Source organism: Homo sapiens, chromosome 1, assembly GCF_000001405.40.
Source record: "Homo sapiens chromosome 1, GRCh38.p14 Primary Assembly".
Lineage (NCBI taxonomy): Eukaryota > Metazoa > Chordata > Mammalia > Primates > Hominidae > Homo > Homo sapiens.
This window is the reverse complement of record NC_000001.11, coordinates 120,524,954-120,551,422: the sequence shown is the minus strand read 5'-3', so window position 1 is coordinate 120,551,422 and position 26,469 is coordinate 120,524,954. Positions and strand designations below refer to the sequence as shown.

The following is a 26,469-nucleotide window of genomic DNA, read 5'->3' as shown; positions in this document are numbered from 1 at the left end:
TTTCTCTCTTAATGAGTTTATATTCCTAATTGGAATGGAAGCAGGTATGGAGGCGGGAAGATCAAATTTAATTGCCGCAGTAAATTTGTAGTTTTATTTTAACATCCTTAGCTTGTAATGATTACTAAGAATAGTTCAATAAGTTTATCTTATTGTCCCATATATAAATCATTGTTCCATATATAAATTATCCCATATATAAAATCATACTTTTTTCTCCTGAATCTTTTAAGTGAATTGATATTCCTATAAAATATATCTCTTTCCCATTTCACTATGGATTATTTATCTGTGCTTATGCTATAAATCTGCCTTTAGGCACATCTATTTTAAATTTATTTTAATTTTTCTCTTTTTATTTTGAAATAATTTCAAACGTACAGAGATGTTATAAGAGAAATACCAAGAACTCCCATATACCCTTTACCCAGATTTACCAGTTGCAAATATTTTGTCACATTTGCTTTATAAACTCTCCCACTGTCTGTATTTGCACAGTATTTTTTAAAAATTCTTGAACCATTTGAGAATTAGTTGTAGATAGTATACTCCTTTACCCTAAATACTTAAGCATTATTTCTTAAGGACAAGGACATCTCTTATATAATTACAGTACAACTATCAAATTTAGAAAATTAGACATTGATAAAATACTGTTACCTAATATATAATCCATATCAAAATCTGCCAATTTTTTCCAATAATGTGAAACAAGCATGTTGTAAGAAAGGTAGCCGGAATGTAACTTCTCTCAGGAAGTGTAAGTTTGATGAGTATGCCTTTTCAACTCCTTGATTAAAAATAGAATAAAGCAAATATTTGGTCATTGTAAGCATTTCCTTTATTAAATCCTCCCCTTCTCATTGAACTCTGAATTACTTGCTTTCGCTGAATAAACATGTAGTGTTTGTGTGAATTGGTACAGAAAAGTGGAGAGGGAAGCTGGGGAGCATAGTACAAATGGAGGTGAATCAGTGTTCTTAATAAGGAACAGACCTGTCTTTAGGAATTCATACTGATAATTTATGCAACAAATCTGATTCTCTAAATCTCTGGCAAAAGATGCAACAGACATTTTTGAAGACAAAAAAAAAATTTTGTTGGCCATGTTTAACTCACCTTACTCGTTTTGCCGTTTCTTCCTAGCCCATGACTGAAGAGTTGCTGAAACAACAAAAGCTGAATTCACATGAGACCACTATAACTCAGCAGTCTGTATCTGATTCCCACTTGGCAGAACTCCAGGAAAAAATCCAGCAAACAGAGGCCACCAACAAGGTATGATTAGTACTATGCCCTAGGAGATGACAAGGTTTTCCTGAGGATGTGACTGGCTCTAGCCTGAGTCTGTCAACCTTTGTAGGACTTGGGAGATGAATACTGTGTACTCCTTGTGCTCTAGGGAATATTTCATGTAAAAGTGTAGTTCTTCCCTTTATTCTTATGAAGATTTTAGCTTGTTCTATACAGATCATAATTTCTGGTGCTTTTCAGGTGTGTAATTAAAACTTGCATGCAGGCCGGCGCAGTGGCTCATGCCTGTAATGCCAGTGCTTTGGGAGGCCAAGGCAGGAGGATCACGAGGTCAGGAGTTCGAGACCAGCCTGGCCAACATGGTGAAACCCTGTCTCTACTAAAAAATAAAAAAAAAATTAGCCAGGCGTTGTGGCAGACGCCTGTAATCCCACCTACTTGGGAGGCTGAGGCAAGACAATCGCTTGAACCCAGGAGGTGGATGTTGCAGTGAGCCAGGACCATGCCACTGCACTCAGGCCTGGGCAACAGAGAGAGACTCTGTCTCAAAAAAACACTTGCATGCAATCTTCCACTGTAAAAGGCACTGAGATAGGAGGTCTGTGTTTTTTATTTTAGCTTAACTTGTTACTACTTTCTAGCCCATGAATTTTAATGTCTGGCTTAGAAGAAAATTGCTACAATTTGGGATGCTGAACTTGTGGCCTGGGTGCCCTTATAGTGCCCTCTCCTATGCTAGATAGCAGAAGCTCTTTGGTCCTTGTATAAGGGATCCATATTAGAAACCACTTGCCTACTTGGTCCATGTGGACAAGTTCCTAGTATGGCTACCATCATAGAGAGATCACAGTGCATGAAAATTGAGACAATTTAGTATTGAAGGAAGTATTTCATTTCTCCTGCTACTTTTTGTTGCTGATTGACTTACCACTTTAATGGTTACTCTATGTAGGAAAAATAACAAGGTAATATCCCCTAAGAAATTCTTTAAATCCTAGATTTGAGGAAAGGCTTTATTCATTTGAGGCTAAAAGACATCATTGACCTAAAAAACTGTTTTTCTTTGCTGAATTCAGATTCTTCAAGAGAAACTTAATGAAATGAGCTATGAACTAAAGTGTGCTCAGGAGTTGTCTCAAAAGCAAGATGGTACAATTCAGAACCTCAAGGAAACTCTGAAAAGCAGGGAACGTGAGGTAACATATTTACCAATCAAGGACCTGTGTGGAAACAATTGGTCCCTTCAAAGTAGACAAGTATTTTATATTTTGTCAAAATGGATATTGTCAGACTAGCATGTCTTAGCCTGGAGAAGTTGTAGCTTAATCTCAATTGATATTTTGGAATAGTCCTGTTACTAAAATGTGTACAGGTGATATAATGGAATTTATAATTAGTTTACTAACATATTTGATATTCCCTCTCTCATTTTCAGACTGAGGAGTTGTACCAGGTAATTGAAGGTCAAAATGACACAATGGCAAAGCTTCGAGAAATGCTGCACCAAAGCCAGCTTGGACAACTTCACGTATGTGAGGGTCACATAGGACAGGAGAGACTTCAGTTGGGGATGTGCCATTTTGGTTGCAGTCTTGATTTTATTTTCAGTCTTTGTGGGAGCTCAGTGCTTGCCCTCCTTGTGATTGTGATTTCTACTCTCTTTTCAGAGCTCAGAGGGTACTTCTCCAGCTCAGCAACAGGTAGCTCTGCTTGATCTTCAGAGTGCTTTATTCTGCAGCCAACTTGAAATACAGAAGCTCCAGAGGGTGGTACGACAGAAAGAGCGCCAACTGGCTGATGCCAAACAATGTGTGCAATTTGTAGAGGCTGCAGCACACGAGAGTGAACAGCAGAAAGAGGCTTCTTGGAAACATAACCAGGTAAATCATTAACTATTTTATTGCCCTAAATGCTGACTTTGCCCTGATCATAACTTTTTAGCAGGACAGTTTGTGTTGAACCCTTGAGTCAGTTGCATAATCTAAGTATTTCAGTTCAACACTTGCTGCCCTTGTACCATATGCTAGTTACAGTAGTCCCTCTTTATCCACAGTTTCACTTTCCATGGTTTCAGTTATCTGGGGTCAACCACAGACAAAAAACATTAAGATATTTTAAGAGAGACCACATTCACGTAACTTTTCTTTTTTGAGACAGAGTCTCGCTCTGTCGCCAAAGTTGGAGTGCAGTGGCGCGATCTCCGCTCACTGCAAGCTCCGCCTCCTGTATTCATGCCATTCTCCCACTTCAGCCTCCAGAGTAGCTGGGACTACAGGCGCCCGCCACCATGCCTGGCTAATGTTGTTTTTGTATTTTTGGTAGAGACAGGTTTTCATCGTGTTAGGATGGTCTCGATCTCCTGACCTCGTGATCTGCCCACCTCGGCCTCCCTCACGTAACTTTTGTTACAGCATGTTGTTATAATTCTTCTATTTTATTGTTATTGTTAATCTGTCAGTACGTGTAATTTGTATGTAAACCTTTATCATAGTTATCTATGCACAGGAAAAAACAGTATACACAGGCTTCAGTGCTATCTGGTTTCAGGCATCCACTGGGCGTCTTAGAATGTATCCCCTGTGGGTAAGGGGCGACTGCCGTATTGAGTTGTGCCCTGGAAATACAAGGATGAATAGCACAGGCTCCTTTCTTTTAAGTTACTTATAGTTCAGTAAGAGAGACAGTCACATAAGCTGAGTTTCAGTGTGGTAAATTCTGAAGGGGATGTATATATGGGGTCCTACAGGAATATCTAGGAAAGGAGTCAAGGAAAAGGAATCAAGGAAAACTTCATGAAGGAGGAGACATCTGAGGTTATTCTTGAAGGATGGGTAAAACCAGGCAGAAAAGTGGGGAAGAACCACTAAGGTCAGAGGAATGACATGCATAATAATCAGCCCTGTTTTTTATTTTTTATTTTTGAATAATAAATATACGATTCTTTTCTTTTCTTTTCTTTTCTTTCTTTCTTTCCTCTCTCTTTCTTTCCTTCTTTTTTTTTTTTTTTTTTTTTTTGAGACAGAGTCTCGCTCTGTCGCCCAGGCTGGAGTGCAGTGGTGCGATCTCGGCTCGCTGCAAGCTCCGCCTCTCGGGTTCACGCCATTCTCCTGCCTCAGCCTCCCAAGTAGCTGGGACTACAGGCACTGGCCACCACCATGCCCGGCTAATTTTTTTTGCATTTTTAGTAGAGACGGGGTTTCATCGTGTTAGCCAGGATGGTCTCGATGTCCTGACCTCGTGATCCTCCCGCCTCAGCCTCCCAAAGTGCTGAGATTACAGGCGTGAGCCACTGCACCCGGCCTCTTTCTTTCCTTCTTTCTCTCTCTCTCTTTCTTTTCTTTTCTTTCTTTCTTTCATTTTTTTTTTTTTTTTGAGACAGAGTTTTGCTCTTGTTGCCCAGGCTGGAGTGCAATGACACAATCTCGGCTCACTGCAACCTCCACCTCCCGGGTTCAAGCGATTCTCCTGCTTCAGCCTCCTGGTAGCTGGGATTACAGGCATGCGCCACCATGCCTGGCTAATTTTGTATTTTTAGTAGAGACAGGGTTTCTCCATGTTGGTCAGGCTGGTCTCAAACTCCCGACCTCTGGTGATCTGCCCACCTTGGCTTTCCAAAGTGGTGAGATTACAGGCGTGAGCCACCACGCTGGGCCAAAATACACAACTCTTAAATGGTTCCTTTATCTTGTTAGGTCAGAGTGTATGTGTTTGTTTAAGATTTAAAAGATTTTTTTGTGTGTGGTCTCTTCTTAAGCTCTTTAACACTCAGGTTTAAAAGTAATTTTTGAAGGATCTCCCTGGTTTAGTGGTTTGGAGATCAAATATTAGCCCTGAATTTCCTTTTGAAATATTAAAATTTTGGCTGGGCACAGTGGCTCACGCCTGTAATCCCAGCACTTTGGGAGGCCGAGGTGGGTGGATCATGTGGTCAGTAGTTCAAGACCAGCCTGGCCAAGATGGTGAAACCCCGTCTCTACTAAAAATACAAAAATTAGCCCAGTGTGGTGGCAGGAGCCTTTAATCCCAGCTACTTGGGAGGCTGAGGCACAGAAATGCTTGAACCCGGAAGGCGGAGGTTGCAGTGAGCCGAGATTGTACCACTGCACTTCAGCATGGGCAACAGAGTGAGACTCCATCTCAAAAAAAAGAAATATTAAAATTTCAGATGTCTGGGCAGGGTCGGGGAGTGGTGGAGGGATGGAGGTAGAAATAATTCTTAACTTTTTGTTATTTAGCTAAAGGAAACATTTCCCCAAGATTTGTTTAGTTGAGAATATGTATTTGGTAGCTTTCTAAAGTAACAGATGATTTAAAGATTACTGACTTTATTATTAGAAAAATAATTATGGCAAACTAAGAAAGAAGAGTGATGGTCTCTATGAGATCTTTAGAAAAAAGGATGATAGGAATAGTTTATCCTTGAGCTTATTGTAAATAATCCAGGTTTACCGTAGGACAGATTCTCACTTAATGGTTCTATAGATGTATTCTTTTTAAGCCAAAAAATAAGTATTGAACTATAATATCAAGCTTACTTCCTACCCCATTCACAACTTTTACAATTTTCCATATCCTATTCAATTCATGTATAATACTTCTATAGCAATTTTAATAATGGCACCCTCTACTCCTCTTTCAGTTTATATACCTTGAAAATTTTAAGGCCTCTGTATCTAATAACCATGTGACAATTTTAGATCTCTTTAAAAAGGTAATATGTTTAATTCAGGAATTGCGAAAAGCCTTGCAGCAGCTACAAGAAGTATTGCAGAATAAGAGCCAACAGCTTCGTGCCTGGGAGGCTGAAAAATACAATGAGATTCGAACCCAGGAACAAAACATCCAGCACCTAAACCATAGTCTGAGTCACAAGGAGCAGTTGCTTCAGGTGAGTTTACATGATTTCAATGAAAACTGGGCTCATAGAACTCTGAAATTTGTTTATATAATTTTAAGATATTAATCCACCTGTGCTGAGTCCCTGCCATATGGAAAACATTGAGAGAGGTGGGAATCAGGAGGATTTAAAATAAATAGAAAATATAATTTGTGAATTAAGATGCTTACTAACAAGTATAAGAAACAGTACATATAGCCCTGACTTAAGCAGTCTTTTATGAAGTCTTTTATAAAGACTTAATATTCAGAAAATAGTTATTAAGCACCTCTGTGAATCAAACACTTTTCTGGGTGTTGGGAAGACAAAAGATTTGGCTACTGATCTCAGTTTAATAGATGAAGACAAACTGTACAGAAACTTCCACAGAGTAATTTTGATGATAGAATAAAAGTTTGAGGGGAAGATGGAGCATTAAGAAGAGACTGATCTGTTCTGCCACCTACTCTAAGCTTCAGTCACATTGAATCCACTACATTTCACTGAATGTACAATTTTTTCATTGTATGCATAGTGTGCATATTTTTTTTTCTCTAACGTATCCTCCTCTCCCTTCTTCACTTAGGAAATCCTAGTCCTTTAATTAAGACTCACTGCAAATATTACCTCCTCTGTGAGGTCTTTACTGACACCTTCAGGCAGAGTTAGGCAGTGCATCCTGTGTTCCCCTGGTGGCTAGCGTATGTTGCAGAACAGTTAATTCTATGTGTTGTGTCTGTTGTATGTTGCAGAATAGTTTACAGTTTATATGTCTGTTATCTCTGCTAAACTTGTTACTTTTGAGGAGAGTGATCACATCTTGTTTTTTTTTTATCCTGAATAACTAGCAAATTACTTGGTAATTTAGTTAATATTGGATAAAAGAATAAAAGAAACTATTTTTGGTCTCAGGAATTTCGGGAGCTCCTACAGTATCGAGATAACTCAGACAAAACCCTTGAAGCAAATGAAATGTTGCTTGAGAAACTTCGCCAGCGAATACGTGATAAAGCTGTTGCTCTGGAGGTATGTATCATCATTTCGCCCACTATGCTATGGATTATTCTATCTACATAGGTATTATAGAAATTTGTGTTTGCTTAAATTTGCTGCTTTGGGATTTGGTTTTCTATTCTGCCATCTTGTTGAATAAGAGTGATCAGGATAGTAAATCTTACAGAGCTTTAGGAGTCTTCCTTTCCTTGCAGCGGGCTATAGATGAAAAATTCTCTGCTCTAGAAGAGAAAGAAAAAGAACTGCGCCAGCTTCGTCTTGCTGTGAGAGAGCGAGATCATGACCTAGAGAGACTGCGCGATGTCCTCTCCTCCAATGAAGCTACTATGCAAGTAAGAGCAAAACCTATCTCTGACTTGGTGTTCCTCTCCCACTTGTATCCTGAGCCTGAAGCATGACCCCCTTCCATCATTTTCTGAAAACCAGGGATTTTGCTTTATAAGGGGGAAGAAAACCAAAAAGAGCAGTTACTAGTTCCATCATTGTCAATTAGCAAGTGAGAGATTTTAGCGCTTCTACTTTTCTTTTGTAATATGAACTTTGTGAGGAGAGCCAGTAAATATTGATTTCTGTTTACATAGTTCTGATTTATTTCCAATTCTTGTTCATACATAAGTATACATACACACACACTCTTCTCTCTCTCTCTTACTTTTACTGAAGCATTACCAGGGTGCAATTATTAAATTGTGTCTTCTACATTAATATTATCTACATGTCCATGAATTGCCATAATTAGAACACTTGTTTATCTATATTTACTGTGGACTTTTTTGCATATTTATTTTAGAGCTTATGTATCTATCTGCCACTTTTTCGAGAAATCCTTTATAGCATAGTGCACTTCCTCCAAAATACTTCCTTTTATCATATATTCTATATTTAATCTCTCCACAAACTAGATAAAAGTTTCTAAAAACCAAAAAAAATAGATTAGTATGGCATTGTTAGATCAATGTTCTCATCTTGCAAATAAAAAAAAATTGATGGGAGATTATTTAAAAGTGGATCTAATTTCTTGTTTATCCTGAGGAGTATGGGGTAATCATTTTGACTGATTATTGCTCTCTTTATGGCTGTAGACTATGGAGAGTCTCCTGAGGGCCAAAGGCCTGGAAGTGGAACAGTTATCTACTACCTGTCAAAACCTCCAGTGGCTGAAAGAAGAAATGGAAACCAAATTTAGCCGTTGGCAGAAGGAACAAGAGAGTATCATTCAGCAGTTACAGACGTCTCTTCATGATAGGAACAAAGAAGTGGAGGCAAGACTTCAGTTAACTTTAAGGCAGTTGGTTCAGTGATTATGTAATCTCAGCCTTGGATTAGGACTCTTCAGATCGGGAGGCCTGTGACCCAAGTCTTTAATTTCATTCTGTGCCTGGGCAAGTCATTGACTTTCACTGGGATTTTTTTTTTCCCCACGTCTAGAAACTTAAGTTGGCAATTAACTTTCTCAAAGAACTTATGTGAGAATTAATGAGACCCAAAAATTGCATCTTTAACATGATAGCTAACCTTTATTAGTTATAGTCTTCATGCTGGGTCAGGTACTGTTTTAAGATCCTAATGGATATTAACTCATTGGATCCTCACAAGTCCATGAGGCACTTTCTATTATTCCTTTTTATAGAGGAGGAAACAGACTTCTGAAGCTAAGTAACTTGTCCAAGCTAACATAGCTAATAAGTAGCAGATCCAGTATCAACCTAGGCAGTATGGCTCCATTCCTCCACCATGTGCCATCAGTTAGTACAGAAATAGAAACCATCGCTATGATAGCAAATATAGTGTTTAGTATTCCTTTCAGCTTATCGTTTTATGCTTCCCCCTGTTAAGTTACACTGGGGAGAAAACAAATAAATGAACTGAGTGTCCATTTATCCTCATCTAACATTAATTGTTACATGCCCTGAACAAATAGGAAAAAGACTTATTTCAGAAAACAATATGTATGTAAGTGGCCACCAGAGATAGTTTTCTGTATGGTTTGTATTCATTCCTGGGACATGTATTTAGAGACTTCTGTGTAGCAGGCCTATGCTAGATCTGGTAAAACAAAAATGAGTAAAACATGATACTTATTCTCAAGAATCTCACACCTCCTTCTTCTATGATAGATTCTTATAAGCCCTTTGATATTTAGCAGAGGCATTTCTTTCCTCCAGAAGCTTACAGTGTCCTTTCTGCATTAGGATCTTAGTGCAACATTGCTCTGCAAACTTGGACCAGGGCAGAGTGAGATAGCAGAGGAGCTGTGCCAGCGTCTACAGTGAAAGGAAAGGATGCTGCAGGACCTTCTAAGTGATCGAAATAAACAAGTGCTGGAACATGAAATGGAGATTCAAGGCCTGCTTCAGTCTGTGAGCACCAGGGAGCAGGAAAGCCAAGTAAGGATTAATGCACAGATCAGACAAGTGTCGTGTAGTGCATTTATAGTCTGCAAATAGGAAGCATTTGCAGACTATAGATGTGTGTATATTTATATATTTTACCGTCAACTCTGTTAGTTTCTTTCCTTCTATTTATTACCTAAACCACAGTTTTATTTATTTACTTACTTATTTAGAGATGGGGGTTTCGCTGTGTTGCACAGGCTGGTCTCAAACTCCTGGGCTCAAGCAATCATCCTGCCTTGGCTTCCCAAAGTGCTGGGACTATACGTGTGAGCTGCTGCGCCTGGCCTTAGACCACAGTTTTACATTAATCATCAAAGTATGACACATTTCTTGAAAACCTTGCATTTGGAAGGGTGCCTAAACAATACATGTATCCATTAACTTCATTACATACATTTTCTTTTCCTTAATAATCTGATAATTTTGAGAGAAAGGAGTAGGGGTTGTGAGTGTTTCGATTTTGATTCTAAATTGTTAAGACTTGAGTAATATTTTGCATTTCCAGTCAAGGTATGGGAAAACTTACACTCAACATGTTTACTCTTAGTTTTTGTAAAATCTGAGTTAAGAGGGAAAAAAGATCGCATTTTTCAGAGGTCATGGTGAGAATAAACAATCTCATAATAGTACAGGGTATATTAATTTCACAATATTTAAGAAGTAAATTCTTTTTTTTTTTTTTTTTTTGAGATGGCATCTCCCTCTGTCACCCAGCTGGAGTGCGATGGCGCAATCTTGGCTCACTGCAACCTCTGCCTCCTGGGTTCAAGCAATTCTTCTGCCTCAGCCTCCCAAGTAGCTGGGATTACAGGCATGCACCACCATGCCCGCTAAGTTTTGTATTTTTAGTAGAGGTGGGGTTTCACCATGTTGGCCAGGCTGGCTTACGATTCCTGGCCTCAAGTGATCCACCCATCTCGGCCTCCCAAAGTGCTGGGATTACAGGCGTGAGCCACCATGCCCTGCCCATAGTAAATTGTTAATTTTTCCTCATTTCTATGTGTTTTCTCCTCAAGGCTAAAAACTCTTAGTTGACTTGTGCTGCATTTCAGATACCAGTAGCTCAGAATCCCCGTAGTCAGTTTTTAGAGGAAGATAGACTCTTTTTTGCCTATGTTATTTGACCCCATAATATTTTCTTATGTTTTCTTATGTTGTGAAAGGATTATACTCCACTATTCTAATTGTTAGGCCCACTGAAGTAAATACACATCTTTCTAGAAAGGTCCTGCTGTGTGCTTCAGAAATTGTTTCTAAAATAGACCTAACAAAATTATTCTAAATTATTTAAATCTTTGGCAAGAGGCTAGGATCTTTGAGTTTTCTTTTTAACTTCTTTGTGATTTGGGACAATTGGTCTTTATTATACCTCAGAAAAAAAAATTATGCACTGCTGGTAATAGAATAATGGAGATGATGGAAATTACAGGAGATTTTTCAACTCAAGAAGATTAATGGTTGTATTCTTCTAGATCTGCTTCTCTAAATTTACGTGCAAAAGAAATCACCTGAATAGCTTTTTAAAGATGTAGATTGTGGAGCTCAACTCCAGAGAAAGAAATTACGAGGTATAGGTGGGACTTAAGAATTTGCATTTCTAACAAGTTTCCAGGTGATAGTGATGCTGCAGGTTCGTGGACTGCATTGGAGGAGCACTGCTAAAAACTCTTAAATACTACGAGAAAAGGAGTGCCAAGGCAGATAGAGCACAGTATATATCTTGTATATTATTTATTATGTTTTTTCCCCACAGTTTTCACAGATATTTTTATTAAGGTACTTTAATAATATTCTGATACGTCTAAAATAGTTATATTCAAATCTCCAAAGAGCCCAAATTTTACTTACTGAAAAGTGGAAGGTTTTTTTCGTATTTCCCCTAGAAATTGTGACAAGAGCTCAGCTTCTGCCCTAAAACAATAGTACTTTTCCTCAGAGACAGTTGGTGTTATGATTCATCATCTTAGACCCTCAGTAATTTTAATATCAATTTATTATTTCCAGATTTTCTGTTTAAATGCAGACTTCCTGTGCATTAATAGTTAAAAATGTTCTAGATCTTTCCCTTATTGTGTCATCATCTGTCTTAGAAAACTGGGATTTGAAATGAAACAAGCTGAGTTGGGTGATTTTGAGGTTGAGATTATCCTAATCATGTGGTCTGATAAACATGTTTATGTGCGTAATTGATTCATTCAGTAAATATGTAGTGTGTGCCTATTATGTGCCAGACACCGTACTGGGTGCTTGAGATTCAGCACCAAATTGCCTTTAGGAAACTTACATTCCATGTAGGGGAAGCAGAGAGAGAGATCTATTAGATAATGGTAAGTGCATCGAAAAAAAATTAAGCACAGTAAGAAGTGTTGGAGATAGAGAAGAGATTGCTGGGTTTTAAAAAAATTTTTTTCCCAGCTTTATTAAAGTATAATTGACAAATATTGTATATACTCAAGGTGTACAGCATGATGTGTTGATATACATATACATTTTGAAGTGATTGCCACAATCAAATTAACACATCCGTCACTACACATTTTATGCGTGTATGGTGAAACCACTTAAGATCTACTCTCTTAGCAAATTTCAAGTAAATAATACAGTATTATTAACTAAAGTCACCATGCTATCATTGGATCCCCAAAACATATTCATCTTATACTTTGGCCAGCAAGATTGCTGTTTTGGATAGGATATGCAGGAAAGACCAACCTGATAAGGTGACATTTGGCAAAGACCTGAAGGGAGCAAACCACACAAATGTTTGAGTGAAAAGGAATCCACCCCTAAGAAGCAACTATCCGAGAATAAAGACATTTGTTATACTAATTCAAACCAGAATCTTAACACCTTAGCCTGATAGTTGTAGCAGAACCTATTTCAGATTCTCTTATCTGTTACAGATGTGTTAAATTCAGTTTTTTTTCCCAATATTCTGCCTATGAGACTTTCTTTCCATTCACTTAACTCTGTTTTTCCCTGTAAACTGAAAGCAAGGAAACTATTTCCTAAGGACCCACTGTTTTTTGTTGTTGTCATTGTTGTTTGTTTTTTACAAATGGTTGACTTTGAAGAAATAATACCAGAACAAAAAATTTGTTTTACTAGAATATCTTTATAATGTTATTTGTGATTTCCTCTTACTAGGCTGCTGCAGAGAAGTTGGTGCAAGCCTTAATGGAAAGAAATTCAGAATTACAGGCCCTGCACCAATATTTAGGAGGGAGAGACTCCCTGATGTCCCAAGCACCCATCTCTAACCAACAAGCTGAAGTTACCCCCACTGGCCGTCTTGGAAAACAGACTGATCAAGTAAGAACTATAGACTTACATAATTCATGCTGATTCCATTTCCTTTTTACATTTGAGGTGTAAGTTTGATAATTTTAATACCAAATTCTGAGAATATTCTCAGTACTGTCATTGTGATCATAGTTCCTGCATCTTCCTAAGTCCCCTGACTTTTGCAATTTTTTAGGGTTCAATGCAGATACCTTCCAGAGATGATAGCACTTCATTGACTGCCAAAGAGGATGTCAGCATACCCAGATCCACATTAGGTAAGTATCAAATTTCATTTCATTAAGGGACTTTGTTTTTCTCTTGTTTTTTCTTCTAGTAATCTCTGTATTATAGGTTTGGCCAAGACTCTTTTCTCTTCCTACCTTAATAGAACAAATAAGTTTGGAATTCCTCTGAAAGGCTGAAGAACTGTCCTTACCTTATGTTGAGTTGAGGTTATTGCTCTGGGTTCACAATTCGGCCCAGAGAAATTCTATCCTTACTCTCCTTTTCAGATAGCTTTGCAGGGATTCAGAAATGCAGGAGGTAATTGTTCCAATCCTGCACAGCAGGGCCATGAGCTGACACCTTTTCCTGGGTATCGTTTCAAGTCTGGGGCCACTCACTGTAACTTGACATCACCTACTAATGTTATATATATATATAATGTTAGCATAGTTTGATAGTTTCTGGCACAATAAGATGTTCTATGATTACCTTTTGCTTTACCTGCCTCAGTCCCAGAATCAGCCATTATCCTAAAGAGCTCCCTGGTTCCTTTTGGTGGGTAATGGCATTCAGAAACTATGATCTGGACACAAGATGTGTTCATTGCTACATGAATGCCTTTTGCTTCTAGGACCTTTTTTTTTTTTGAGACGGAGTCTCGCTCTGTCACCCAGGTGGGAGTGCAGTGGCACGATCTCTCTGCTCACCTCTCGAGTAGCTGGGACTACAGCGCCAGCCACCACACCCAGCTAATTTTTTTGTATTTTTAGTAGAGACGGGGTTTCACCGTGTTAGCCAGGATGGTCTCAATCTCCTGACCTCGTGATCCGCCCTCCTCGGCCTCCCAAAGTACTGAGATTACAGATGTGAGCCACTGCGCCCAGCCGCTTCTAGGCCCTTTTAAGAGAACAGAACTAGCAATGAATATTTTTAAGTATGTATGTGTGTATTTGTATACATGTGAAGATTTGATACTGATTTCCTTAATTCCAATTTAACAATATAGGTTCTTTTTTCCCTCATTTCATATTTGTATCTCCTTGAGAGCCCTGGTTACTTATAGCATCAATATATTTCAAAATATTTACACAGTTGCAGAATACTATAATATGCAAAAGTATTTTTGGAATTGTTACATAAATACCACCATCAACAATAAATGTATTAAGTAATGTTTAAGATTTTTTTGTAATTCTTTTTATCCTTAGGATATTTTGCACTGACAGTGTTCAGTTAGAGTAGTAGTGAGTTCAAAAATTATTTGGATTAATTTTTTTATTATCTTCTGGATGGTTTTGTTATCTATTTGCTATATAGATTTATTTATTTATATTAGTATTCAATTTTAGACCTTTTCTCTCTCATTCATTGTCAAACTGACTTACACATTAAAAATTAAACATTTACACAGTTCAAAACTCTAGTATATAAAATGATATACTCAGATGTCCAATATTTTCCTGTTCCTTCTCTCCTGTTTCCACTCATCTCCTGCAGGTAATCAGTTTCATTTCTGGGTTATTCTTCCTGTATATCTTTTTGCAAAAATAAGCAAATGAATCATCTGCGTATATGTAATGTATATATGTACATTCTTATTTCCCCTTTTTCCTAATAGAAAACCTACTACTTTAGATGTATTCTTAAGCACATAGCTTGTTTTTACTTAACATATTCTTAAAATCTCAAAATCACTCCATATAAATTCATAAAGATCATCCTTATTCTTTTTTTACATCAGTATATAGTGCCATCTGTGAATATACTATAGTTTATTCAATCTTTTCTTTATAGCATCTAGGATGATTGCAGTATTTTGCTATTATAAATAATGCTATAAAGAACAACCTGTGTGTATGTTTTCTTTTTTCTTATTATTGGAATGTGTCCTCTGTAAATTACTCAAAGGAGGCAGCAGATACCACATTATGTTAATAGCAATTAAAACTAGTGCTATATTTTCATTTTAGGAGACTTGGACACAGTTGCAGGGCTGGAAAAAGAACTGAGTAATGCCAAAGAGGAACTTGAACTCATGGCTAAAAAAGAAAGAGAAAGTCAGGTGAGTTTTTTAGTTAAGTCTTAATTCCAAAATCCCTATTATTTTTTTCTTTCAAAATAGTTTATATTTAAAAGCATATAATTCTCCATGTATAATATCTGAGTCCAAATGCCAGGTATGACTTTTTTCTTTTTGGAGAAAAATATAAGTTATTTTATATATACATTATCTCAAAAAGATGCTCCTGTTTTTAGATTGGGACCATTAAAACTTATTAAATGCTGGAAAAACGTAACCCTCTCTCCCCATTGCTAACTGGAATAAAATAATTGTAAAGGCCGGGTGCAGTGGCTCATGCCTGTAATCACAGCACTTTGGGAGGCCGAGGTGGGCGGATCACTTGATCCGCTCGAACAGGAGTTCGAGACCAGCCTGGCCAATATGATGAAACCCTGTCTTTACTAAAAATACAAAAATTAGCTAGGTGTAGTGGCGGGCGCCTGTAATCCCAGCTACTCGGGAGCCTCAGGCAGGAGAATCACTTGAACCCGGGAGGCAGAGGTTGCAGTGAGCTGAGATCGTGCCATCACACTCCAGCCTGGGCAACAAGAGCAAAACTCCGCCTCCAAGATAATAACAACAACAACAACAATAATAATAATAATTGTAAAGCACTGGTGAAAAAAGGAAGCGCTGTGTGATTGCTGCTTAGAGTTATGACATTAGATCCGTGAAATTAGATTTAGAAACATGAAACGAGAAATTTGAGTATAATCAGTGTTTATCAAGTATTCATGTGCAATGTACTGTGCTAGGTATTTAAATTAGCACTAATGCTCACAACTCTACACAAAGTAAGTGGTGTCGGCCCAATTATTATAGACGAAGAAGCTGAAACACTGATTTCTCTTTTAAAATGGGAGTGGAGAATAGTCATGTAACTAATAAATGCCAGAGCTATGATTCAAACTCAAGCCTTTTGTGACTTCACATACTTCCTAAGAAGATTCATTTCCTAGAGCACATTTTTCCCACCTTATGCTTTAACTCTCTCTAGCATAGAGTTCTCATCAATTTTTTTTGGAAGAGGCCTTTCAGCCTTAGAGATTCCCTTCCCCCTGCCTTTCCTCCACAGCTAGTTGCATATTCAACTATGATGTTGAAGAAATACTAGGACCACAGCGCAGAGTTACAGACTGAAACTAAAAGCTTGTTTGTTACTATGTTGGCATCTCTTTTAGAAGATCACTCAATGTCATGGCTTCCTAAATTCAGTTTAGCTAGCTAGTCCAAATAGCTCCTTAGTTTTTTTCTACCTTTTGCCATAGCTAGATCTATAATATAAAACCTGTGTTTGTATTTGTGACAGAATTATCATATTTTATCTTTTGATTTCATTGTCATATTTCTGCTTACAAACAGACTCATGTTTTATGACTCAATTAGTTTTCAGGATATGAGAATGTGTGGCATTTAAGAAATACCAGTTTTAAAAATCCCCTAGTCCCCCTTCCTTTTTGTGGTTCTACCTTAGCCGTTATCTGATTATTCATGTCAGATATTTTAGTTTCCACATCCTCTTCCTGTTTTTCTCACATTTATCAAATCTAGAGTAATGTTACTTTTTGGTTCTGTCCTGTTTTCAGGATCATGAAATTGTAATGCCTATGAATGGGTATTTTGGGTGATATTTAGCTATTGCTAAATTCCTTTAAAGGGTTTATTTAAAATAACTTGTCTTACCATAAAGATTGTATGGATATGTGGTATCTACAGGAAAGATATTATAGCCTAGTGGCTCTGAGTCAGCTTCCCTGAGTTCACGTTCTGGATTTACCACTTACTAGCCAGCCCTGTGATTTTTGAACAAGTTCCTTAATTTCTCTCAGACTCAGATCACCTTGTCTGTAAGTTGAAGAGTAGAAGAAGTCACCTTATGTATAAATAAAAGAGTAGTTATCTCATAGGATTGTTGTGAGGATTCACTCATTCATTCATTAGCTATATGGGGACCTTCTCTAAGCTTGGGCTAGTGCTGGGGATGAGGTAGGTAGTGAATGAAATCAGTAAGGTCTGTGGCTCTGTGTAGTTAATTTCTACTGGGGAGATACAGACAATAAATAAATAAACATTATAGTTATAGAGTATAGTAAGTGATATGAGGGAAATGATAGAAAGCAACATGGATGGAGACCATCTTAAATAGGGTGGCCAAAGAAGGCTTCTCTGAGCAGATGACACGTAAGCTGGGACCTAAGGATGAAAAGGAGGCAGCCCTGAGAAAGATATTTCAGGCAAAGGGAGTAGTTGTAAAGGCCAAGTCAAGAGAAAGTCTGGTGTTCCTGGAACAGAAAAAGTCTAATGTGCCTACAGAGTCATGAGTGAGCAGTAAAATGGCAGATATTAAAGTAGGAAAAGTAGGCAGGAGCCAGATCACTAGGTTTGTTAAAAGGATTAAATCTATACAAAGCATTTATTAGAGAGCCCAGGGCATAGTAAGTGTTAGCAGCTATGGTTGTTATCATGATTTTTTTTTTGAGATGGAGTCTCGCTCTGTTGCCAGGCTGGAGTGCAGTGGCACGATCTTGGCTCATTGCAACCTCTGCCTCCTGGGTTCAAGCGATTCTCTTGCCTCAGCCTCCTGAGTAGCTAGGATTACAGACACACACCACCACGCTCGGCTAGTTTTTGTATTTTTAGTAGAGATGGGTTTCACCATGTTGGTCAGGCTGGTCTCGAACTCCTGACCTCATGATCCGCCCACCTCAGCCTCCCAAAGTGCTGGGATTACAGGTGTGAGCTACCACGCCTGGCCTATTATGATTTTTAATGAAGTTTGTCATAACCAAGTACTTGTCATTTTCTGATGAGAACACTGAAAGTTTAGGGCATGTAGTGCCAACTTTTGGCAGTATTTCTTCACAGGTGGTGGCGTGTTCTTCCATCAGGAGTCATGTAATGTTTGGTGATCTCTCGTGATGTTAGCAGCTGTTGCTGTTTGATGCCTTATCCCTTAATTCATTAAGGGTTGCAAAATGGAGATATCCTAATGCTATCATTTTTTCATCTGTTAGGTGAAGTTTTACTTACATAAAAACTTCATCTCTTCTTGCTTCTGCTAATGGTAACCATCTTCTGAATCGCTAGTAAGATTCAGCTCTGGGTGTTTCTTCGTTTCTAATGGCTCATAGTGATTACAGTTTATGTTAATAATCACTCCTACTTCTGTCAACCTCCAGCAAGAGTAAATTGATAGCAGGATAAATCCTGTTACCATCAAGTATAAAACTTCCTTCTGCTGATGCTATTTAGGTTCTGTGGCCTTCAACTTTCTCAGTCTTCAACTTATAAGCCCATGGACTACTTCAGTTTACTTACAATAACAATAATAATATTGTTTAAGGATGGTATTTATTGAGTACACACTGTGTACCAAGCACTGTTCTAAGCACTTCAAAATCAGCAAACCCTTTAAAGTTCACAACAGTATGGAGTGGGTAACACTCTTAACCCTAATTATTAAATGAAGAAACTTAGTTATGGAAAGGTTATGACTTGCCTGAAGTGACATAACTAACAATAAAAGCACAATTCAAATCAAGACAGTCTATCTCCATAGTTCTTGTTCTTAATTATTATGCCATACTCAATTTAAAAAGTTCTACAAAAGTATGAATTTTTGCTTCAGTGATAAGAATACCTTATATTTGCATAACGCTTACATTTTCACCCAAGGATTTTATGGTCTTATGTTTTAGAGGTTTATTTTTGTGTACTTTGTAGAATTAGATAGCTGATAGAAAATACTTTTCTAAATAAGGGACATCTTGGTATCACCTCCATTTTGTATTGTTCAGAGCCTAGAAACTTCCAAGAACCACAAGTTGAGAACTTTTATTGAAGCCTCAAATAAAAGTTTTTTATAAAATTGCCAGTCTAACATGTAAAACTTAATCTCGAAGAAGCAAGTTAAATGAACAGATTCTTAGCTCCCAGAGAATCTAAAGGCGGCAGGCTATTTTATATTTTATCAAAAAATAAGCAGACGAGTCATCAATATAAAATCATAGGTACCTTAAATTAGAAATTCAAAATATTCCAAGTTAGTTCTAAAGACAGTGTTTCGTTGTGCAGTAAAAGTTTAGAAAAGGGTATCACACAAGAGAAGTTCTCTCATTTATTTAAAAAAATGGAAAATGGTAAAAGATGTCTAATGTCTTGTATGGACCTTGTATGAGATAACTTACTCTTTTATTCCCATATTTTCTATAAATTTTTTAGCTTTACCCCTCAAACATGGGAGAAAAAGTTTCAGCATTTTAATTCAAATTGGTAAAAGGCTGAGCAACCCTTAAAGCTGCCATAATGGAAGAAGACTGTGAGCTAGCTTAAAAAAGAGAGAATGAAGGGGAAGAAACAAAACCCCTGTGTGGCAGAGTGTCGAGATGAGATGAGCATTTATTTGTCTCCGTCGAATTCCTTACGGAGATAAGGTAAGCACCTTATCTGTATTGGGTAGTGAATGCTCATGATTCAAGCAGAGCCTTTCATGCCTGGATGTCTGAACTCAACAGAAGGTTCTTTGGTCTTGGAGGAAGAAGCAAAGATAAAGATCTGATTTGTCACCAGAAGGAAAAGTGAGTGGCTTCTGTCTAAGAGTCCAGAGTCTTGACTTACTGGCGCAGCTCTAGTGAGGGCTAGTTGTGTAACCTTGGACTCACCACGTAATCTCTTAGAGGTCCAGGTTAATCAGTGGTCAGAAGTGGAGTTGTAACTGGTTGGTTGCCGAGGCTAGGATCAGAACAAGATTTCAAGATTCTTAAGTTGGGGAGGTTCTATAAGACACAGTGAGTGTCACAGTAAATTTTCTTTGACAAATTAACCATAATAAATTTCTACACTTCCTGAAAAATACAGTATATAAAACATAGCTCTTGGTCTTAAAATGTATGAACAGTCTTAATTTTAATCAATATAAGGAGGAAGACACACCCTAGATTTGTGCTGTCCAATAGGGTAGCCACTAGCCACATGCAGTCATTTAAATATAAGTAAATTTAAATAAAATTTAAGATTCAATGCTTTGAAATGTGAGCCATACTACCCACATTTCAAAGCTCAATAGCCATATATGACTGTGTCCACTGTACTGGGCAACACTGGCACAGAACATTGCTGTCATTGCAGAAAGTCCTCTTGGTCAGTGCTGCCTTAGACCTTTGCCCATACCACAAACTGCAGCTACTTGTACCTTAGAGCAAGGTGTAGATGTTTGGGCCCTAGAGTGGCTGTGTCCATCTCTGGAGAATGAAAGGATGGGTTAAATCCCACGGGGATAAAGCAGTGCAAGAAACCCTTCAGACAAAGGGTGTCTGCATAGAATAAGAGTTTGAGAGAGGTGAGGAGGAAGGGAGGTTAGAGGAAGAAATTAGGGAACAACTGAATCCTTTGGTGTCTTGAATCTTGACTAGACCTGAACCTTACTAGGACACAGGACCCCCAGAGGGAAGTTCCTCAGAGAGATTGTCACCCTATGCACAACTGATCCCAACAATAGATACCTCTGAGAGATTCAGGGCAGCTCTAATCTCCAGGCACTCAGTGGTGGGGAAAGGGTTAAGCATATTGGACTCATATTATGGAAGAGAAAGTTTTTATGTAGCCAGGCAGTGGGGAATAATTCAGGCTTTCTTGACATTCGAGTGGGGTAACCAGTGCATCTGACAGTCGGCTCCTTAGAAATGGGTCTGTGCAGGCAAAGTCAGCTTATGTTGTGAGGCTCAGGCTTGAGTATGAGTAAGAAAGTGTCTGTGATACAAAAAGTTCTATTTTTCTTTCCAGCCCTGCTGGCTAGGGAGAATTTCTTCCCCATGTATATGGAGAAAGGAAGAAATCAGAGTCAGCGGGCAAAAAGAGTATAATTTAACCTGCTGTCTGGAAGCCATCTGTGAAGGGAATCACTTTTCTTTTCTGGACTTGTTTCCAGGTGCAGCTGCAGGGGATGACACCGAAGATACAAGCACTGAGTTCACTGACAGTATTGAGGAGGAGGCTGCACACCATAGTCACCAGCAAGTAAGTCAGTGTCAGGGTCTGGGACTTCCAGGGTGGACAGCACACAGCCCTTCTGAGGTCTGATAGTCTCCTGCAGCCCTTGCGGACTTAGTGAGAAGATATCTTTTTACATAAACTACTTCTCAGTCATCTACCTGTTCTCCTTGAACTTCCCAGCTGCCTTTCCAACCCATATCTTCACTCCATTTTTCTCTCCAATCCACCCTTTGGTTTGTATTGTATCTCTTTCTTCTGCTTCCTTCCCCCTCCTACCCACCTTTGCCCCTATTTATTCTCTGTAGCTATAGCTTCAGAAGCATTTTTACTTGCAAGACGATGGACACATTCCCCTTGGGCTTTTTGTAACTGAAATGCACCACAGAAGACAGGGAGTCATCGAAGGGCTGCTCGGGGAGGTGGCAGGGCGGAGGAACTGCTTGGGAAGAAACTCCAAGAAGATTGGAATGCTTCCAAAGCAAGAATCTTTCTCAGTGAAATCTCATTATACAAAGAGAACCTTATGCAACCTGACAAACCACTGAGGTCATGGTGACTCAGTGATCAGCAGATGGTACTTCAACAGCAATCCCCTGTCAAACCTCAGAACTTGAGGCTGAAACATTGCTTCCACCCACCATCAGTGAAGATGTAACTAGCATGTTACAAGAGTGAATAATCTGGACTTCAGAGATTAAGTCACCAATAGTGATCTCACAAGTACTCACCGGAACTCCTATAATGTCTCCACTTTGTCCATGCCATTTAGCAATCTCATCTCCTAAATGGACTGTGCCTATGATTCTTAAGGAGAAAGTGAATCATTGGTAGATATCCTGCACAAGCAGCTGGACTTTCCAGTAATAGCTTTCTTGGGGCTATTAGGAAAATTAAACAAGAAATGAGGCTTTCTGGGTCTGCCTGTATGTCTTCTGCATAAGAAAAAGAAGAGACATCGAATCAACCAATAAGAAGAGCCCAAATAAGCATCCTCAAATCTTTTGGGATTTGGCACTTGGGGACATGAGTAGTTGTCTGGGATACGTCATATTCTCAACAGTTTCTTTGTAGTAGTAGGATCACCTTCTTATAATAGGATCACCTTCTTGTTGCTATAGCTGTACCCGACCTTCCCTTCTCCCTTGAGTGCTTGCATGAGCTCCACTTTTCCTTTTGCTTGAACAGCTTCTCCTGAGTCCTCCTTACCGATGGTTGTGACTTTAATTATATACATCTCTGTCCCTCCAGACAGATCCCTCTGTCCTCACTCTCTGATTTCATTGAGGATCTTGGGTGAGAGAGAGGGACCTGCAGGATGAACAAATGTCTACTCTAAGACAGCTAGATTGGGAGGTTGGCTGGTCACTGATGGTTATAATGACTGTGGGACAGGATTAACTTCAGAATAAATGAACAGGAGACACAGATATGAAGAAAGTTTCTGATTGATATGGTCTGAAGTACTCCTGGTATTGCAAGTCATTTGCTCTAATTCTCAATTGTAGGCAAACTGATTTGTAAATTTGCTTCTTCAGCCTTCTTTCCTGTAGCCTAGCATGGAGAATCTGACCAGACCCCATTTTGAGAAGGTCAGCCTACACTGGAATGAACTTTTTACATTAGGGCATTTGTATTTCCCTCACAATACTTGCCACATTACTTGGCATAGGAGAGATGCTTAGTGTAATTATGAGTTAACAAGCCTTTGGATCAGGGCTTGACTCATGATAGACAAAGTATATGCCTGCTGGATGGAAGAATCTCTTGGGCGAGCACCATTTTTCTTTCCATCACCTTTCCTTGAAAATATATCTTCAGCTTTGGGTAGGAGGAATCTTGGTGTATGAAATCATTGCAAATTTACTTCATCTTTTCTGGAGTTTGAAGTTGTGACTCTCCTGCTACCAATTAAATAAAGCTTACTTTGCCATAACTGTTTTGTGTCCAGATTCTCAAAATTTGTTTGCTTGTTTCCAGGAAAATGGTCCCTTAAAGGTAGATTTTGAGCTTCTCCTTGTTATGTCCTTGGAAGGTAAATTTTTGCCTGACACCAAGTTCCCTTCCTACTCCAAGCATTCATATGCTTTTCCTAACAGACACATCCCACCTTGTCTTTCTTCCAAGGTGAGAATCACCTTTTGGCCAATACAAGTTGCTTGCTCCTTATGTTTTGGACTCAGCCACCTCAGGAAGCCTCAAGTCTGGCCATGATAGTAATTTTCCCTAGATTATCTCCCACAAAATTCTATTCTCAAGCAGATGTAAGATCTATAATAAATACCTATGAAATTGCTGTGAAAGAAACTAGAGTAACCAACCATTGCATTTTTTATGTGAAGTTTTGTAATGGAGAAAAAGTTAATCAAGAATAAAGATTCAGGCCCAGGTAGTGTGCATCTATAGTTGCAGCTACTCAGGAGGCTGAGGCAAGAGAATCTCTTGAGCCCAGGAGTTCAGGGCCAGCCTGGGCAACATAATGAGACCCCTACCTCTTAAAGAAAAAAAATCAAGATTCAAATATGAAGAACAGACGTTAGTAGACAAAGTGTGATAAACTTGAAAAAAGCTATTTTAAAAAAATAGTTATTTTTGATTGACAAATCGTAATTGTATACATTTATGGGGTATATGATTATATATATATATATACACACAATATGGAATGATTAAACCAAGCTAATTACATATTCATAAACTTGCCTACCTACCATTTTTGATGGTGAAACATTGAAAATTTACTCTTATTTTGAAATATACATTTTATTGGCTATAGTCACCCTGCTATGCAATATATCTTAAGACCTATTCTTTTTGTCAATACTTTTGATCAACAATTCCCCCTACTCTCCCTCCCCACTCCACCAGCCTCTAGTAACCACCATTCTACTCTTTGCTTCTATGAGTTCAACTTCATTAGATTCCACATATAGGTGAGCCTATGTGGTATGTGTGCCTGGCTTATTTCACTAAGCATAATGACCTTCAGATTCATTCATGTTGTCACAAATGACAGGAGCTCTCCCCCAACATTTTAAGGTTAAATAGTATTCCATTGTGTATTATCTGCCACATTTTCTTTACCCTTTTATCTACTGATGGACCTAGGTTGGCTCTACATCTTAACATAAATTATGAATAATGCTGTAATGAACATGAGAGTGCAGATATACCTTTAACATATTCATTTCAGTTCCCTTGGATATATACCCAGAAATGGGATTACTGGATCATAGGGTAGATTCTATTTTTAGGTTTTTGAGGAAACTCCATACTGTTTTCCACACCAGCTGTACTAATTTACATACCTATTCACAATGTCTGTGTTCCGTTTCCTCTGCATTATCTCTAACATATCATTCACCTTTTTGATAAATGCCACTCCAACAGGTGTGAGATGATATTCATTATGGTTGTAATTTGCATTTCCCTAATGATTAGTGATGCTGAGCATTTGAGAAAAGCTAATTTTTAATGCCTTAATGTTGAGAACTGACTTAACATTGGGACAGATACGAAGCAATAGGGTAAAAGCAAAACAATGTCATTCAAACAAGATATCAGATTTGCACAGAGGCCTTTGTGGGGCAGATGGGAACCCAGCACACAAAAAGTTGAATTATATGAAGCAATATCACAAGTGAGTTAGGAAATGTGGAAAAAAAAACCAATAAGACAGATATAATTAAAAATAGACCTAATGGATTCACACTATCACTACAAATACTGGAAGCCCTGGGGTTTCATTTGGGGGAAATAAATACTTGCTTTCATACATGATCAAAACTAATGAAAAGGCTAGATCCTGAGTTACTTTTCAGGCATTTACATTTAAAACTTAAAGTTACATATGTATACATGTGCCATGCTGTGCTGCACATTATGCACATGTACCCTAAAACTTAAAGTATAATAATAATAAAATAAAAAAATAAAAAATAAAAAAAGAAATAAAAAATAAAAGTTGTATATATGTAAAAAAAAAAAAAACCTTAAAGTTAGCCAACGAAAGTCCACTTTGAGATGGAAATATGAAAACCCAAATTAGCCTGGGGAAAAATGAGATCCCTAGGCAATGTTTGATTTTCTCACTTTAAAGTGGGAAATTAGATCAGATGTACCTTAAGGTTTTTCTGGTGTTAACATTCATGGTTCATAATTTTTTCTTTTTAAAGAAAATAGGTGTATTGAAACCAATAGAACAAGATAACATATATCCAGAAGGCACTTTAATAATGGGTAAACTTCATTAAAGTTAGACATTATTTTTAAGCAGAAGGAACCCTTAAGGCCTAGAAAAGAATAATGCTGTGCCCACACTCAAGACTAATGGCAAAGTGTGTTTTAGTTAAGTTACTCGGAAAGAGTTTATATAGAATGACAACATCACATAGTTTAAATAAGGGATGGGATCGTAAGCTTTCAGAAGTGGTTTTATTTGGTCCCCCTTCCTTTATTTTGTCACAAATGCTGGGGGGCACATATGGAGATGGCCACCAGCCTGATTAAGCCTGCCAGCAGAATCTTAGAGACAGACATTCCCAGGAGCCTCCCAAATCTCAGGCTCACAAAGTCCAAGTAAGATTGGGTGCCTGGGACTTGAGTGGCTTTGTCTAAGGATCTTTCTTCTTTGACCTGGGTGCGCATGTCTTCACAACCTCAACTGCTATGCTACTGAACACCATTGCACATGCATACTGTGAATCGACCCTACCACAAACCTGTGACCTACATTTGAACATACTTTGTTATGGGTAATAGCAAAAGTCAGTGGCTTTGCACCAACCCCAGCAGCTCTGTCAGTCGTTGATCCATATAAGCTGTTCTGGGCCCTGCTCTCTTCAATGTATTGGTGACCTGAATGGAGATATAAAGCATATAATTAATTCTACAAGTTATCCCCAATCACTTGTAGTGGGGGCCAGTACATGATTTGTGGAAATGCACATCAAATATTTGGATGACTCGGATAATTGGGGAATGATTCAGTATAGCCAGAATGAATTTATAAGTGACAATTACAAGTCACAATATTTGTAGAGATAAAAGAAAACAACATGACTCAGCAACAGCTGTAGGGGAGGGGTGGAAAATTCAGAGGCCAAAATTGACCCAAAGTTAAGTAAAAGCTCCAAATGCTGCCACTGAGAAGAAAAAGAAGCCAATGTGACATTGGGACATATTAAGATTAATATTGGACAGACAGGCAGGAACTCCTTGTACTAAAGTAATTAGTCATATGCTAAGTAGATTATCATACTCAGATTTTGATTTCTACACTTTTAAGAGCGTGGGAAAAGACCAAAGATAAGCCCAAAATGAACAATAACAAAGTCTAAAAGTTAACAAATTCCCATTTGAGCAAAGGC

At 38.2% G+C, this 26,469-nt stretch overlaps 1 pseudogene across 2 annotated transcripts in view; it reads left to right on the top strand.

Moving 5' to 3' along the window:
- The window catches only part of PDE4DIPP2 (PDE4DIP pseudogene 2), a 195,809-nt pseudogene that overhangs the window by 114,014 nt on the left and 55,326 nt on the right, over nucleotides 1-26,469 (top strand). For both annotated transcript variants that reach the window (NR_144517.1, NR_144516.1), the window contains 14 exons: nucleotides 1,147-1,278; nucleotides 2,331-2,450; nucleotides 2,690-2,782; nucleotides 2,922-3,134; nucleotides 5,984-6,142; nucleotides 7,043-7,156; nucleotides 7,339-7,476; nucleotides 8,227-8,406; nucleotides 9,337-9,531; nucleotides 12,688-12,852; nucleotides 13,019-13,100; nucleotides 15,021-15,112; nucleotides 19,334-19,545; nucleotides 21,039-21,127. The product of NR_144517.1 is annotated as a PDE4DIP pseudogene 2, transcript variant 2 (transcript). The remainder of the gene's footprint in view (nucleotides 1-1,146; nucleotides 1,279-2,330; nucleotides 2,451-2,689; nucleotides 2,783-2,921; nucleotides 3,135-5,983; nucleotides 6,143-7,042; nucleotides 7,157-7,338; nucleotides 7,477-8,226; nucleotides 8,407-9,336; nucleotides 9,532-12,687; nucleotides 12,853-13,018; nucleotides 13,101-15,020; nucleotides 15,113-19,333; nucleotides 19,546-21,038; nucleotides 21,128-26,469) is intronic.